Source organism: Homo sapiens, chromosome X (assembly GCF_000001405.40).
Source record: "Homo sapiens chromosome X, GRCh38.p14 Primary Assembly".
NCBI classification, from domain to species: domain Eukaryota; kingdom Metazoa; phylum Chordata; class Mammalia; order Primates; family Hominidae; genus Homo; species Homo sapiens.
The window spans coordinates 101,512,292-101,531,000 of record NC_000023.11 but is presented as its reverse complement, the minus strand read 5'-3'; the positions used below and the strand labels follow the sequence as shown (position 1 = coordinate 101,531,000).

General features: G+C 37.0%; 1 protein-coding gene across 5 annotated transcripts in view; it reads right to left on the bottom strand.

Moving 5' to 3' along the window:
* Positions 1 to 18,709, bottom strand: part of ARMCX4 (armadillo repeat containing X-linked 4) — a 117,711-nt gene that overhangs the window by 4,988 nt on the left and 94,014 nt on the right. For 2 of the 5 annotated variants that reach the window (NR_028407.3, NR_045862.2), the window contains one exon: positions 6,569 to 6,797. The exons of 2 other annotated variants lie outside the window; for them this stretch is intronic. The gene's annotated coding sequence lies outside the window, so the exon portion shown is untranslated. Of the gene's footprint in view, positions 1 to 6,568; positions 6,798 to 14,049; positions 14,522 to 18,709 lie in introns of those variants that run through there. One more of the 5 variants, NR_045863.2, reaches the window with a different exon arrangement.

The window sequence follows — 18,709 nt, the reverse complement described above, 5'->3', positions numbered from 1 at the left end:
TTGTCTTGTTTTAAGCAATTGAGTGTGTGGTAACATTTTATACAATTTGTTATAGCAGTAGGAAACTAGTGTAACAGCTATTTTTAAAGAACAAAAGAGGAAAAAAGTATTTTCTATTTACTCAGATATTTATCATTTCTATTGCTTCTCCATTCCTGAGGTTCAAGTTTCCCTCTGGTATCATTTTCCTTTAGTCTGAAGAGCTTCCTTTAACATTTCTGGTACAGCATGTCTACTGGCAACAAATTATGTTTGCTATCCTTCATCTGAGAATATTTTCATGTTGTCTTCATTTTTGAAGGATATTTTTGCTGGACATAGATTTATGGGTTGGCAATTCTTTTCTTTCAACACTTTAAAGATGTTCCACTGTTTTCTGGCCTTCATTGTGATAAGAAAATCACAGTCATTCAAATTATTGTTCCCCTAGAAGAAATGAGTTATTTTCCTCTAACTACCTTAAAATTTTTTTCTTTTTTTTATATACCACTTTTTTATTTTTATTTTTTATTTTTTTATTATACTTTAAGTTTTAGGGTACATGTGCACAACGTGCAGGTTTGTTACATATCTATACATGTGCCATGTTGGTTTGCTGCACCCATTAATTCATCATTTACATTAGGTATTTCTCCTAATGCTATCCCTTCCCCATCCTCCAACCCCACGGAAGGCTCCGGTGTGTGATGTTCCCCGCCGTGTGTCCAAGTGTTCTCATTGTTCAATTCCCACCTATGAGTGAGAACATGTGGTGTTTGGTTTTCTGTCCTTGTGATAATTTGCTCAGAATGATGGTTTCCAGCTTCATCCATGTCTCTACAAAGGACATGAACTAATCCTTTTTTATGGCTGCATAGTCTTCCATGGGGTATATGTATCACATTTTCTTTATCCAGTCTATCATTGATGGACACTTGTGTTGGTTTCAAGTCTTTGCTATTGTGAATAGTACCGCAATAAAAATACGTGTGCATGTGTCTTTATAATAGCATGATTTATAATCCTTTTGGTATATACCCAGTAATGGGATCGCTGGGTCAAATGGTATTTCTAGTACTAGATCCCTGAGGAACCGCCACACTGTCTTCCACAATGGTTGAACTAGTTTACACTCCCACCAACAGTGTAAAAGTGTTGCTATTTCTCCACATCCTCTCCAGCACCTGTTGTTTCCTGACTTTTTAATGATTGCCATTCTAACTAGTGTGAGATGGTATCTCATTGTGCTTTTGATTTGCATTTCTCTGATGACCATTGATGATGAGCATTTTTTCATGTGTCTGTTGGCTGCATAAATGTCTTCTTTTGAGAAGTGTCTGTTCATATACTTTGCCCACTTTTTGGTGGGGTGGTTTGATTTTTTCTTGTAAATTTGTTTAAGTTCTTCGTAGATTCTGAATATTAGCCCTTTGTCAGATGAGTAGATTGCAAAAATTTTCTCCCATTCTGTAGGTTGCCTGTTCACTCTGATGGTAGTTTCTTTTGCTGTGCAGAAGCTCTTTAGTTTAATTGGATCCCATTTGTCAATTTTGGCTTTTGTTGCCATTGCTTTTGGTGTTTTAGACATGAAGTCCTTGACTATGCCTACGTCCTGAATGGTATTGCCTAGGTTTTCTTCTAGGGTTTTTATGGTTTTAGGTCTAATATTTAAGTCTTTAATCCATCTTGAATTAATTTTTGTATAAGATGTAAGGAAGGGATCCAGTTTCAGCTTTCTACATATGGCTAGCCAGTTTTCCCAGCACCATTTATTAAATAGGGAATCCTTTCCCCATTGCTTGTTTTGTCAGGTTTGTCAAAGATCAGATGGTTGTATGTGTGTGTTATTATCTCTGAGGGCTCTGTTCTGTTCCATTGGTCTATATCTCTGTTTTGGTACGAGTACCATGCTGTTTTGGTTACTGTAGCCTTGTAGTATAGTTTGAAGTCAGGTAGCGTGATACCTCCAGCTTTGTTCTTTTTGATTAGGATTGTCTTGGCAATACGGGCTCTTTTTTGGTTCCATATTAACTTTAAAGTATTTTTTTCCAGTTCTGTGAAGAAAGTCATTGGTAGCTTGATGGGGATGGCACTGAATCTATAAGTTACCTTGGGCAGTATGGCCATTTTGAAGATATTGATTCTTCCCATCCATGAGCTTGGAAAGTACTTCCATTTGTTTGTGTCCTTTTTTATCTCGTTGAGCAGTGGTCTGTCGTTCTCCTTGAAGAGGTCCTTCACAGCCCTTGTAAGTTGGATTCCTAGGTATTTTATCCTCTTTGAAGCAATTGTGAATGGGAGTTCACTCATGATTTGGCTCTCTGTTTGTCTGTTATTGGTGTATAGGAATGCTTATGATTTTTGCACATTGATTTTGTATCCTGAGACTTTGCTGAAGTTGCTTATCAGCTTAAGGAGATTTTGGGCTGAGATGATGGGGTTTTCTAAATATACAATCATGTCATCTGTGAACAGGGACAATTTGACTTCCTCTTTTCCTAATTGAATACACTTTATTTCTTTCTCCTGCCTGATTGCCCTGGCCTTAATTTCCAACACTATGTTGAATAGGAGTGGTGAGAGAGGGCATCCCTGTCTTGTGCCAGTTTTCAAAGGGAATGCTTCCAGTTTTTGCCATTCAGTATGACATTGGCTGTGGCTTTATCATAAATAGCTCTTATTATTTTGATATACATCCCATCAATACCTAGTTTATTGAGAGTTTTTAGCATGAAACACTGTTGAATTTTATCGAAGGCCTTTTCTGCATCTATTAAGATAATCATGTGGTTTTTGTCTTTGGTTCTGTTTATGTGATGGATTACGTTTATTGATTTGCATATGTTGAACCAGGCTTGCATCCCAGGGATGAAGCCAACTTGATCATGGTGGATAAGCTTTTTGATGTGCTGCTGGATTCTGTTTGCCAGTATTTTATTGAGGATATTTGCATGGATGTTCATCAGGGATATTGGTATAAAATTCTCTTTTTTGTGTGTGTGTCTCTGCCAGGCTTTGTTATCAGGATGAGGTTGGCCTCATAAAATGAGTTAGGGAAGATTCCCTCTTTTTCTATTGATTGGAATAGTTTCAGAAGGAATGGTACCAGTTCCTCCTTGTACCTCTGGTAGAATTCGGCTGTGAATCCGTCTGGTCCTGGACTTTTTTTGGTTGGTAGGCTATTAATTATTGCCTCAATTTCAGAGCCTGTTTTTGGTCTATTCAGAGATTTGACTTCTTCCTGGTTTAGTCTTGGAAGGGTGTATGTGTCGAGGAATTTATCCACTTCTCCTAGATTTTCTAGTTTATTTGCATAGAGGTGTTTATAGTATTCTCTGATGATAGTTTGTATTTCTGTGGGATCGGTGGTGATATCCCCTTTATCATTTTTTATTGCATCTATTTGATTCTTCTCTCTTTTCTTCTTTATTAGTCTTGCTAGCAGTCTATCAATTTTGTTGATCTTTTCAAAAAACCAGCCCCTGGATTCATTGATTTTTTTAAATGTTTTTTGTGTCTCTATTTCCTTCATTTCTGCTCTGATTTTAGTTATTTCTTGCCTTCTGCTAGCTTTTGAATTTGTTTGCTTTTGCTTCTCTAGTTCTTTAAGTGTGATGTTAGGGTGTCGATTTTAGATCTTTCCTGCTTTCTCTTGTGGGCATTTAGTGCTATAAATTTCACTCTACACACTGCTTAAATGCGTCCCAGAGATTCTGGTATGTTGTGTCTTTGTTCTCATTGGTTTCAAAGAACATCTTTATTTCTGCCTTCATTTCGTTATTTACCCAGTAGTCATTCAGGAGAAGGTTGTTCAGTTTCCATGTAGTTGTGCAGTTTTTAGTGAGTTTCTTAATCCTGAGTTCTAGTTTCATTGCACTGTGATCTGAGAGACAGCTTGTTATGATTTCTGTTCTTTTACATTTGCTGAGGAGTGCTTTACTTCCAATTATGTGGTCAGTTTTGGAATAAGTGCGATGTGGTGCTGAGAAGAATGTATATTCTATTGATTTGGGATGGAGAGTTCTGTAGATGTCTATTAGGTCCGCTTGGTGCAGAGCTGAGTTCAAGTCCTGGATATCCTTCTTAACCTTCTGTCTCATTGATCTATCTAATGTTGACAGTGGGGTGTTAAAGTCTCCCATTATTATTGTGTGTGAGTCTAAGTCTCTTTGTAGGTCTCTAAGGACTTGCTTTACTAATCTGGGTGCTCCTGTATTGGGTGCATATATATTTAGGATAGTTAGCTCTTCTTGTTGAATTGATCCCTTCACCATTATGTAATGGCCTTCTTTGTCTTTTGATCTTTGTTGGCTTAAAGTCTGTTTTATCAGAGACTAGGATTGCAACCCCTGCTTTTTTCTGTTTTCCATTTGCTTGGTAGATCTTCATCCATCCCTTTATTTTGAGCCTACGTGTGTCTCTGCACGTGAGATGGGTTTCCTGAATACAGCACACTGATGGTTCTTGACTCTTTATCCAATTTGCCAGTCTGTGTCTTTTAATTGGGGCATTTAGCCCATTTACATTTAAGGTTAATATTGTTATGTGTGAATTTGATCCTGTCATTATGACGTTAGCTGGTTATTTTGCTCATTAGTTGATGCAGTTCCTTCCTAGCATCAATGGTCTTTACAATTTGGCATGTTTTTGCAGTGGCTGGTACCGGTTGTTCCTTTCCATGTTTAGTGCTTCCATCAGGAGCTCTTGTAAGGCAGGCCTGGTGGTGACAAAATCTCTCAGCATTTGCTTGTCTGTAAAGGATTTTATTTCTCCTTCACTTACGAAGCTTAGTTTGGCTGGATATGAAATTTGGGGTTGAAAATTCTTTTCTTTAAGAATGTTGAATATTGGCCCCCACTCTCTTCTGGCTTGTAGAATTTCTGCTGAGAGATCCCCTGTTAGTCTGATGAGCTTCCCTTTGTGGGTAACCCGACCTTTCTCTCTGGCTGCCCTTAACATTTTTTCCTTCATTTCAACCTTGGTGAATCTGACAATTATGTGTCTTGGGGTTGCTCTTCTTGAGGAGTATCTTTGTGGTGTTCTCTGTATTTCCTGAATTTGAATGTTGGCCTGCCTTGCTAGGTTGGGGAAATTCTCCTGGATAATATCCTGAAGAGTGTTTTCGAACTTGGTTCCATTCTCTCATCAATCAAACACAGATTTGGTCTTTTCACATAGTCCCATATTTCTTTGAGGCTTTTTTCATTTCTTTTTACTCTTTTTTCTCTGAACTTCTCTTCTCACTTCATTTCATTCATTTGATCTTCAATCACTGATACCCTTTCTTCCACTTGGTTGAATCGGTACCCTTTCTTCCACTTGATTGAATCGGCTACTGAAGCTTGTACATACGTCATGTAGTTCTTGTGACATGGTTTTCAGCTCCATTAGGTCACCTAAGATCTTCTCTACACAGTTTATTCTAGTTAGCCATTCGTCTAATCTTTTTTCAAGGTTTTTAGCTTCCTTGCAATGGGTTTGAACATCCTCCTTTAGCTCAGAGAAGTTTGTTATTACCAATCTTCTGAAGCCTACTTTTGTCAACTTGTCAAAGTCATTCTCCATCCCGCTTCATTCCATTGCTAGTGAGGAGCTGCGATCCTTTGGAGGAGAAGAGGCGCTCTGGTTTTTAGAATTTTCAGCTTTTCTGCTCTGGTTTCTCCCCATCTTTGTGGTTTTCTCTACCTTTGGTCTTTGATGACGGTGACCTACATTTGGAGTTTTGGTGTGGATGTCCTTTTTGTTGATGTTGATGCTATTCCTGTTTGTTAGTTTTCCTTCTAACAGTCAGGACCCTTAGCTGCAGGTCTGTTGGAGTTTGCTGGAGGTCCACTCCAGACCCTGTTTGCCTGGGTATCCCCAACAGAGGTGGCAGAACAGCAAATATTGCAGAACAGCAAATGTTGTTGCCTGATCCTTCCTCTGGAAGTTGTGTCTCAGATAGGCATCTGGCTGTATGAGGTGTCAGTCGGCCCCTACTGGGAGGTGTCTCCCAGTTAGGCTACACGGGAGTCAGGGACCCACTTGAGGAGGCAGTCTGTCCATTCTCAGAGCCTAAACTACATGCTGGGAGAACCATGGCACACTTCAAAACTGTCAGACAGGGACGTTTAAGTCTGCAGAAGTTTCTGCTGCCTTTTGTTAGGCTATGCCCTGCCCCCAGAGGTGGATTCTACAGAGTCAGGCAGGTCTCGTTGAGCTGTGGTGGGCTCCACCCAGTTCAAGCTTCCTGGCTGCTTTGTTTACCTACTCAAGCCTCAGCAATGGCAGATGCCCCTCCCCCAGCCTAGTTGCTCTCGGACTGCTGCACTAGCAGTAAGCAAGGCTCCATGGGCATGGGACCCGCCGAGCCAGGTGCAGGATATAATCTCCTGGTGTGCCGTTTGCTAAGACCATTGGAAAAGTGCAGTATTAGGGCGGGAGTGTCCCGATTTTCCAGGTACCATCTGTCATTGCTTCCCTTGGCTAGGAAAGGGAAATCCCCGACCCCTTGCACTTCCCAGGTGAGGCGATGCCCCGCCCTGCTTCAGCTCACCCTCCATGGGCTGCACCCACTGTCCAACCAGTCCCAGTGAGTTAAACCAGGTACCTCAGTTGGAAATGCAGAAATCACCCGTCTTCTGCAACGATCACACTGGAAGCTGTAGACCGGAGCTGTTCCTATTTGGCCATCTTGGAATGATCAGTCTAAAATTTTTTCTTTACTTTTCATTTTCAGCAGTTCAATAAGATGTGCCTAGAGGTGGTTTTCTTTGAGATTATTCCATTTGGAATTCATGAAACTTCTTGAATTTATAAATTTATATCTTTCAACAAATCTGGAAAATTTTGACAATTATTTCCTCAAATATATTTTCTACTCCAAAATGGGCAATCCAAGAGGACCAGGAGCTGCCACCCCTTCCTAGAACTATCTCACAGAGCAGGGGCATCACTCAGATAAAAGCAGGTCCCTGGCTCCAGCTCTGGTGCAGTGGTTCAGGGATTCTTCCCAGGAGGAAAGGCAGGACATAAGGATAAAGGACTCTGCAGCTCTGCTTGAGGGTACTGACTTAACTTGGAAAAGGGGGAAAAAAAAAAGCTATGCCTGCAGGCATTTTTTAAAACAGTGAAGATCTTGGTAGACAATAATTTATATTTATACACTGTATGAACATCAACACAAATTTATACATGTTGCTTTATAAAGTCAAGTAAGTAGGAGAAAAAAACAGAGTTATTACAAAATTCATTTATATTGTCTTGTATTTACCTATGTAGTTGTTGCTGCATGTGTTGTAATTTTTTGTTGAAAGCTGGACATGTTAGATAATATATTATAGAAACCCTGAATACTGAACCACCTGCCCACACCCTGGAGATTGTTGTTGTTTGCTTGGTCATGGGTTTGTTTGTTGGCTTGGCTGAACTAATTCTGTGAAGTCTATTTCCCCCAACATGTGCAACTCTGGTGTCCCTGCTCAGATATTTTTTCTTTATTTTTATCTTTTAGCCTGGCTACTTAGGTTTTGACCGTAGCTTGGCATAAGCTATTTATTAGTTAAAGGTTGTGCTTAAGCATCCTTTAGCCAATTAGATTTTTATCCTTTGCCATTGGATATGTGGATGGCTTGGAGATGGCTCTCATAGTTCAGTGAATTTACATATTTCCTTGTCCCCTATCCACCACCTCATTCAGCCACTAGTACCTTGGAGGATCCTTCTGTGATTGCTCCTTCAAGGGCATAGCCTTGGGCATACACACATTCTTCTAGACTTCCAGGGATGATACTGATTTTATTTTTCATCCTGGATTTCTAGGATTTGCCCCTGGGTCAGAGTAGCCTATGGTTGAGTCAGTATTTGCTCAGAAGTTGTGTTTAAGTCCCTGTGCCACTGGTGCTTTTGCCCTATGTTTATAGGTCTGTGTGTGGCTTGAGGAATTCTTTCAAGCCTGCTCCATCCTTCTCTGATTTCTCCTAAGTGAACGTAGCTTCATATATGTACATAGCCTTCCTAACTCCCCGAATTGTATGTGATCCCAGAAGGGTTGTTATTGATGGTCTCCTTCCCTGGCTGTTCTGCCAATACATGCAACAACAATGACATAGGTAAATATAAAATACAATATAAATGAATTTTGTTATAATTCTGTCTTTTCTCCTATCTAACTTACAAGACTTTATAAAGCTATATGTATAAATCTGTGTTGATGTTCATACAATGTATAAAAATGTAATTTGTATGACAATAACGATGCAAAGGAGTGAGGAGGTTATGAAGTTATTAAGAGCAAAGATTTGAAATTAAGTTGACATTGATATGAACTTGATTTTTATGTTAAGATATTAATTGTAACTCCAAGGGCAACCTCTAAGAAAATAAATTCTAAAATATAGTAAATGGAATGGCAAAGGAATGAAAATGGTACACTAGGAAACTCCTATTTAACACAAAAGAAGCAGTAATAGAAGAATAGAACAAAAAAGATATGAGACATATAGAAAACAAATAGTAAAATGGCATATGTGAATCCCAATCTATAAGTAATTGCATTAATATAAATGGATTAAACACTCTAATGTAAAGGCAGAGATTGACAGAATTAATTTAAAACGTGTGATCCAACCATATGCTGTCTATAAGAGACACACTTCAGATTCAAAGACACAAACAAGTTGAAAGTAGGACAGAAAAAGATATACCATGCAAACAGTTGCCAAAAGGGACCTGGAGGGCTTTACTAATACCAGAAAAATTATACCTTAAGACAAGCATTTTTATTAGAGGCAAAGAAGGATAATTTAAAATGATGAAAAGGTCAAAAAGATATAACAATTATAAACATATATGTACTTCATGACAAATCCCCAAAATACATAAAGCAAAAGTAGACAGAATTGGAAAAATATACAATTCAATAATAATAATTGAATAATTCAATACTCCACTTCTAACAATGGATAGAACAACTAGATAAAAGATCAACAAGGAAATATAAGACTTCAACACCACTTTAAATCAACAAGAAGTGGCAGACATCTATAGAACACTTCACTAAACAACAGAAAAATACATATTCTTCTCAAGGACACATGGAACATTCTTCAGGATAAAGCACATATTAGATTTTAAGAGTCTCAATAAATTTAAAAGGATTGAAATCATATGAAGAATGTTCTTTGACCATAATGAAATTAAGAATCAACAACAAAAAATAGGGGTTGATGCACACATATGTGCAAATTAAACATATGCCTATGTCACCAATGAGTCAAACAAAATAAGTTAGAAAATATTTTGAGCTGAATGAAAACAAAGATACAACATACCAAAACTTATGAGGTACAGCTGAAACAGTGCTTACAGAGAAAAATATAGCTATAAATACCAAAAGGTCTCAAATCAAGAACCTAACCTAAAGATACTGTGAAAAGAAGAGAAAAATAAACTTAAGTCAAGCAGAAAGAAGTATTAGAGAGGAGACAAATGAAACAGAATAGAAAAATAATAGAGAAAACCAATAGAACCAAAGTCTGGCTCTTTAAAAAGATCAACAAAATTGACAGACCTTAGGCTAGATTGACCAAGAAAAAGAGAGAGATCCCAAATTACTAGGATAAAGAATGAAACAGGGAAATTACTACCAGCCTTACAAAATGAAGTGTTATAAGGAATACTATGAAAAATCGTATGCCAACAAATTAGATATCATATATGAAATTGGACAAATACCTAAAACTGAAAATTACCAAAACTGACTAAAGAAGAAATACAAAATAAAAATTGACCAATTTAGTAAAGAGATTTAGGCTGGGCACAGTGGCTCATGCCTGTAATCCAAGCACTTTGAGAGGCTGAGGTGGGCAGATCACCTGAGGTCAGGAGTTTGAGACTAGCCTGGCCAATATGGTGAAACCCTGTCTCTACTAAAAATATGAAAATTAGCCAGGCATGGTGGCAGGCATCTGTAATCCCAGCTACTCGGGAGGCTGAGGAAGGAGGATCGCTTCAACCCGGGAGGTGGAGACTGTGGTGAGCCAAGACTTCATCATTGCACTCCAATCAGCCTGGGCAACAAAAGCGAAACTCCATCTCAAAAAAAAAAAAAAAGACATTTAATTAGTAATAATTTTTTTAAAAAAAAACCTCATAAAGAAAATTCCAGGACCAAACGGCTTCACTGGTAAATGCTACCAAATGTTTAAAGAAAAATTAATATGAATATTTCACAAATTCTTCCAAAAACTTAAAGAGAACACTTCAAAACTCATCCTGTAAGGCCAGTATTACCCAGATACCAAAATCAGATAAAGGCGTCACAGGAAAGGAAAACCACTCTAACCAATATAACTTATAAATACAGACAAAAACATTCTCAACACAATACTTGCACACATAAAAATAATTATACATCACGACCAAGAAGGATTTACCCCAGGAATGTAAAGTCAGGTTAACATCTGAAAATCAATCAACGTAATATGCCAGATTTAAAAAGTAAAGGAGAAATAACACATGATCATTTCAATAGACACAGAAAAAGCATTTGACAAAATTAAACACTCCTCATAATAAAAAATGCTTGATAAACTAGGAAGGGAAGAGAACTTCCTCCATTTGATAAAAGATGTCTATGAAAAACCCACAGATAACGTATTCAATGGTGAAAATCAGGAACAAGACAAGGATATCTGCTCTTACCACTTTTATTCACCATTTTAGTGGAGGTCCTAGCCAGGGTAATTGGATAAGAAAAAGAAATAAAATGCATCCTGATTGGAAAGGAAAAAATATGATGTCTATTTGCAGATAACATAACCTTGTATATGAACAGTTTTAAAGAAAGGTTGCAGGATGCAAGATTAATTAATATACAAAAATCAGTTATAATTCTATACACAAGCAATCAAAAAATAAAATTAGGAAAATAATTCTGTTTAAAATAGCATCATGCATATATCTGATAAGGGTTAATCTCCAAAATATATAAGTAACTTCTAAAACTCAATAGGAGAAAACCAAATAACTTGATTTTAAAATAAGCAAACGACTTGAATGGACATTTCTTCAAAAAAGACATACAAATGGCCAACAGGTATATAAAAAAATGCTCAACATCACTAATCATTAGGGAAATGCAAATCAAAACCACAATGAGATATCACCTCACACCTGTTAGAATGTCTATTATCAAAAAAAAAAGATAACCAGTGTTGATGAGGATGTGGAGAAACTGGAACCCTTGCACACTGTTGATGGGAATGTAAAGTGGTGCAGCCATTATGAAAATCAGTATGGAGGTTCCTCAAAAAACTAAAATAGAACTACCATATGATCCAGCAATTCTACTTCTGTATATATATCTAGAAGTATTGAAATCAGAATCTCAGAGAGATATCTGCAGTCTCATGTTTATTGCAGCATTATTCACAGTAGTCAAGATAGAAAACAATCTAAATGTCCACCAAAAGATGAATGGAGAAAGAAAATGTGGAATATACATATAATGGAGTGTTATTCAGTCTTTAAAAAGAAAGAAATTCTGCCCTTGTGCCTATGTGACAATATGGATGAAACTGAAAGACATGCTAAATGAAATAAGCCAGTCACAGAAGGGCAAATACTGTAGGATTCCACTTATATGAGGTATCTAAAATAGTTAAACTCAGAAACAGAGAATAGAATGGTGGTTGCTAGGAGCTGGGTGTAGGGGGAAATGGGGAGTTGCTGTTCAATGGATATAAAATTTTAGTGATACAAGATAAACAAGTTTTGGAGATTTGCTATAAAACATTGTACTTATAGTTAACAGAACTGAAAATTATAGCTGATACATCATGGATGTGGCTTATACAAGGAAAATGATGTGAAACTCTAACCAGAAGATTTATACTCAAAGTTAAGTTGTTGGTTCTATATCAAAGGCAGCCAAGTGAAAGAGAATTTGTGTATTTTAAGTTAAAATGCCTAATATATATTTTATTATTTTCTCCAATGTCTCAATTATTTTTCAATTAACTGATGAGCTACCAGTCCAAATTTCATTGGATAATAGGGCTTCTGCTATATTTCTAATAATTTTAATTTATATATTTCAATGCTATGCTGTTTGATAAAGTTTCTTGTATATTCTTGGCGGATCACACCATTTATAAATATAAAATAAAATATATAGATATAAAATAAGATAGTTATTTTAAGCTCTGATAAGCTCTGATATTCAAAGCTTACCAGCTAAGCTTCGAATTTAACTTATCTGATATTAATCTTAGCAATTCTGATTTTTTAATTCACATTTACCTGGGTTTTTTAAATCTTTTTATTTTCAATCTTTGTGTGTTTGTTTTTGATGTGTATCTTGAAAAGATTATATTGTTGGCTATTTAGTCCAACCTGGATATCCTTGTATTTTAATAAGGGAATTTAACCATCCATGTTAATTGTGATTACTTCTTTTTGGTTTTATTCCTGCCATCTTATATTTATGCTTTCTATTAATCATGATTTCGTATTGCTCCTTTTAGTTTTTCTTTTCTGACAAATTTTTCCCTCTAGTCACTTGAAAATTCTACATTTTAATGCTAGTCTGCTATTGACTACAAGTGAAAATTTTACCAAATGTATATAAATGTATTTCCTACTAATGTCACCATTTAACCACTATCTATAACTGCACTCAATCTCAAGTAAGATACGACCTTTAATATGCTTTCAATTATATCCTAACTCTGCTTCCAAATGTGTTCACATTACCTTGAACTTCAGTTTTATTTCTCTATTTTTTACTCTGTTATTATAGTATGTCACTATAATTTTAGGAATTCTTTACAAACAATTGCATTAAACTTTACAGAATATTACTACTACAAATGATTAATTGGTTGTGTACAGACTTCTAGGTTCATGATCTTTTTCCTTCAGAATTTTAGAGACATTGCTCCATTACATTCTAACATAAACTTTTTTGGGTAAAAAAATCCAATTACATTTTAATTTTCTCTTTAAAAATTACCTTTTTTCTCCCTCTGGAAGCATGTAGGATTTTATATGTTTTATGTGCTTAAGATCTGTCTAACTATTCTTATGTGTGCTCTGAAATTTTTCTTACTCAGCATTTGGTGGGGCATTTAAATCTAGAGGACCCAGACTTTCAGGAAATTTCTTTCTATTATTTCTTTGTTTGTTTTTTTTTACAAACCTTGAGTAGATATTAGATCTACTGGATTTAATTTCTATGTCACTCAATCTTTCTTTTATAATTTCCATCTCTTTTTAATTTAGGAAGAATTCCATGATTAAATCTCCCAAATAACAAATTCCACCTTCAGTCATATCCATTAGGTTCTTCTGTACTTCTGATGAGGTGTTTGTTTTTTGTTTCACATCTTTGATACTGTCTTAAAAGGTCTGTTACTTTTCAACTATCTCAGTGTACTTCAAAATACAAAAGTAAATGTAATAATCAGGCCAAGTGTGGTGGCTCACCCTTGCAGTCCCAGCACTTTGGGAGGCAGAAGTACAAAAAAAGAATTAGCTCAGCATAGTGGCATGCACCTGTAGTCCCAGCTACTGAGGAGGCTGAGGCAGGAGAATCACTTGAGACCAGGAGGTCAAGGCTGCAGTGAACAGTGATTCCACCACTGCACTCCACCCCAGGTGACACAGTGAGACTCTATCTCAATAAGAAAAAGAAAAAGAAAAGTAATAACTATTGTTGGTACAGTTATTCTAAATCTAAATAGATAATTTCCACAGCAATATTATTTATTTAGCCCATATTTTCCTTTCAAATATATGTAAAATTTCTAAATCAGAATACAACTTACTGAACAGAAGCCTCATTGTTTAAATCTCAACATTCAGTAAAACAGACACTACATATTAGGTTGCCTTTGAATATGAATCACTCATTTAGGTAAAGATGTAATTTCTAACTTGTGTTAAAAGTGAAAGAAAATTAAGTGAAGAAATAATTTTTTATGTGAAGCCTTGACCAAAACCAATTAGTCAAATACAAGATTACTGCCACGGGTATCAACTATCCAGGCTGGTGGCATGAGCAGTAAAAAGAATTTATGAAGACAGTTGTAGGTAAATAAAGGTAAATTTATTAGAGAAAGTATGAAAATATGCTGCAAGAAAGCAACAAGCAAATCAGGAAGAGAGGAGCTGACTGCAAAAAGACAAAGGCTTGCTGGCGATTTTTTAGGACGGTGCTTGTGCTGGAGAGGGCTGCGTGCAGTACTGATAATGCCAAGGCTGCAGTGAGCTAACTTGCATTTTTCTATCAGACGAGGGTTTGGTAATAGCTGGACACAAGAAGATTGTGAGTTATCTGCGCAGGAGGGGTGTGTGTCCTGGACCATGAAGAAAGACAGGCTTATAGATTATCTGCTTTCTCTTCTTGCTTTCTCCTGCTCCCGCCAGCCTGACTCCTTTTCCTTTATTAGGACTCCAAAATTACCGTATTATAATACAACTGAAGCTCTAATAACACGACACATTTGTTAGAGATTTGGATGCAGATATAACTACAGTTGAGGAATTGAACGTTCTTTAGCTAGGGGGTAATAAGAGAAAAAGACATTTTGTGGATCAGGCCCCAATTTTTATTATTTTATTGATAACAATGCCTTACTTTGTTTATTGAAGAATGTTTCTTCCAATTAAGATACACTTATAATTTTATAATGTTAGTGGGGAGAAAAGAGGGGCCCACTTTTTAGAAATCCGCTGTTTATAAAGTTATTAATTAGACATGGAATGACTCTTCATTTTCTGCTCTGATGACAACCAAATTTTTTTTCAAGTATTGACTTGCCAATTTATCCTTGACAAGTGATTCAGAAAGATAAATGAGCTTTCTGATTTTGCAAATAAGAATGTGGATATATTTTTTTCCGAGAAGCTATGTCCCATCATCTGGCCCATACTTCTAATTTAAAATATAACTGTTATCTCAACAAACAGCATTAATTTAAAATTTTAAACTTAAATCATCCTTACTGCACTGTTCTAATTCTCTGTACTTTTTATTTTTATATTATTTCTATAAAGAATCTTAACTGTGAATTCTGTGGTTTTAGAATTAGTTCTCTAATCTGATTAGATTTAAAGATACTAATAACTCTGTTTCCAGTGGTAAAGAGAACACGGATAGTCAATGGCATGATGAGGCAGTAGAAATACACAAAACATGGCCATGCACAGTGGCTCACGCCTGTAATCCCAAGACTCTGGGAGGCTAAGGTGGGAGAATCACTTGAGGCCAGGAGTTCAAGACCAGATTGACCAACATAGCAAAACCCCATCTCTACTAAAAATACCAAAAAAATTAGCTGGGTGTGGTGGCAGCTGGCTGTAATCCCAGCTGCTCAGGAAGCTGAGGCACGAGAATCTCTTGAACCTAGGAGGCGGAGGTAGCAGTGAGCCAAGATTGCACCACTACACTCCACCCTGGGCAACAGAGTGAGACTTTGTCAAAGAAATAAAGAGAGAAAGAGATAAAGAGAGAAAGAGGGAAAGAGAGAGAGAAAGAAAGAGAGAGAGGGAGGGAGGGAGGGAGGGAGGGAGGAAGGAAGGAAGGAAGGAAGGAAGGAAGGAAGGAAGGAAGGAAGGAAGGAAGAGAGGGAGGGAGGGAGGGAGGGAAAGAAAGAAAAAGAAAGAAAGAAAGAAAGAAAGAAAGAAAGAAAGAAAAGGAAAGGAAAGAAAGAAAGGGAGGAAGGAAGGGAGGAGAAAAGAAAACAGAAAAGAAAAAAATACACAAAATATCATCACTGGATACTCCTAATCACATACTTGGAAGAGTCAAGGTTCTGAGTGACCAAACATGTATTTTATACCTGAGGACATTTTTTGTCAAACTAACAAGTAAGATGAGATTAGTTGGTTGCTGTTAATCGTGCTGGATAAAGTTGCAGAAGAAAGGGATGAGCTCAGGGCTTCAAATTCCCAACACAAGTACTGTATAAATGACCTGGAAGTTTCTATGTCTGCAAGTGGCTGAATTACAATGTAAATTGAATTCCCAACTCTCAGGGTGTCTGATGTTAAAGTGAGAGCATTGATTAGGAGGGAATTGGATTCTGAAAGTTTAAATGAGAACATATGGGTAGAACCTGATGAAGCTGGGGACCTTCGTTAAGGAATTTAAACCCCTAAATTCAACTGATTCTTCTTTGCCAGTAAAGACAGCCCTTCCATCCCTGTCTAAGGAGATTAACCCTGCTAGCATTAAAGACCAAAACTGAGTCCTCCATTATGGAAACATTCCCCAGGGAAATTAACTAGCTACCTGGAGGCAGGTTGATTATGTTGGACCACTACCATCATGGAAGGGGCATCATTTTTTTCTTATTGGAACAGACACTCTGGATATGGATTTGCCTTCCCTGGTTGCAATGCTTCTGCCAAAACTGTCATCCATGGATGTACAGAATACTTTATTCACTATATGGTATTCCACACAGCGTTGCTTCTCGTAAGAAACTTACTTCACAGCAAGTGAAGTGCAACAATAGGTGCATGGTCATGGAATTACTGGTATTAAACCATGTTCCCTATTATCCTGAAGCAGCTGACTTAACAGAATGGCCTTTTGAAGACTCAGTTACAGCATGAGGTAGGTAACAATTTCTTACAGGCAACTCTCTATAGGAGTAATGTTCTCCAGGAAGTTTTATGTGATCTACATCAGCAATCCAATATATGGTGCTATTTTTTTCATAGCCAGGTTTCATGGGCCCAGGAATCAAGGGGTGGAAATGGGAGTGGCATCACTCTCTATCACCCCTAGTGTTTCACTACCAAAATTTTTGCTTCCTGCCTCCATGATCTTATGCTCTGCTGGTCTGAAGATCTTAGTTTCAAAGGGAGAAATGCTTCCAGTAGGAAACTCAACAATGATTCCATTGAAGTTAAGACTGCCACCAGGCCACTTTGGGCTTCTCATGCCTATGAATAAACAGGCAATGAACAGATTTGCTGTACTAGCTGGGGTTATTGGTCTTGATTAACAAGGGGGAAATGTGAGTCTATTCCACAATGGAAGTAAGGAACAGCTTGTCTGGAATATAGGATATCCCTTAGGGCTTAGTGCTACCATGCACTAGTATCCCTTAGTACTAATACTAGTACTAATATCCACTAGTATTAGTACTGGTACTAATACCCCTTAGTGTTTCCATGCCCTGTGATTAAAGTCAATGGAAAGCTACAATCACTCAATTCAAGCAGGACTAATAAAGACCCAAACTCTTCAGGAATGAAGGTGTAGGTCACCTGACCTAGCAAAGAACCATGACCAGCTGGAGTACTTGCTGAGAGCAGAGGGAATATGGAATGGATAGTGAAAGAAAATAGTTATAAAAACCAGCTATGACCACATAACCAATTGTAGAAATGAGGACTGTAATTGTCATGTGTATTTTTTCCTCATTTCATTATGTTTGTTTGTGTGTATATAGCAAACATCTTTGTGTGTGTATATAGCAAATATCTTATTCCCTTGTCATATAACAAAATATGTATTAGCTTTACATCATAGCATTTAAGTTACAGGATATCAAGGAGAAGTGTAAACATTGCCCAAGGACTTTGCGTCCTCTTCTGGGGAAAAGGTTGGTGCATTTTCAGTTGAACACAGGATATCTGTATCATGATAAGTGGAGGTATTGCTTTGTTATTGTCTATATTTAGAGATTACGTATGGTTTAAGGAGATGTGTATGGGTGCCAAGGTAGACTGTGATGGTTAATACTATGTGTAAAGTTGGCTAGGTTGTGATGTCCAGTTGTTTGTTTAAAAACTAGTCTAGATGTTTCTGTGAAGGCATTTTGTAGATGTGATTCACATTTATAATCTATTGACACAATGGATTGTTTTTCATTGTCTGGATAGGTCTCACCAAATCAGCTGAAGACCTTAAGAGCAAAACTTGAGGCTTCCTGGAGAAGAAGGACTTCTGCCTCAAGACATAGAAATCCTACTTGACTTTCTAGCCTGCAACATGCCCTACGGATTTCAGAATCAAGATCACAACATCAACTCTTACCTAACTTTTCAGCCTGCCAGCATGCCCTAAAAATTTCAGGCTTGTCAGTTCCCATTATGTGAGCCAACTCCTTAAAAATGAATCTCTCTCTCTCTCTTCTCTCTCTCTCTCTCTCTACATATATATACATATATACACATATATACACATATATATATGTGTATATATATGTGTATATATGTGTATATATGTATATATATGTGTATATATATATGTGTGTATATATATGTATGTATACACACATATATTCCCCTATTGGTTCTATTTCTCTAGAGAGTCCTAATACAGAATACAACATATGCATTTATCTCAAGTCCATCTTGAAATCTCATTAAAATAATCAGAAATACAAACAGAAATGGAGAAGAAATAATAGTTCATGGAATATATTAACAAAATATTGGAAGATCAGTGGATAAACATTGAATGACCTAGAAAAACAGGAAAAGCGGAAACTCCAATCTCCCATGAATGATGATGATGAGTTAGGAGTATGTGATTCACTCCACAGAGCAGTACAGAAGCTCAGGAATTTGAGGCACCAGTTAACTGCTGAAGGGTCCTCATTGGACTAAGAACAAAAGGATTAGTTGAAATTTTTGTTTTCTTTTTTTCTTGAGATAGAGTCTTGCTCTGTCACCCAGGCTGGAGTGCAGTGGCGCAATCACAGCTCACTGCAACCTCTGCCTCCCGGGT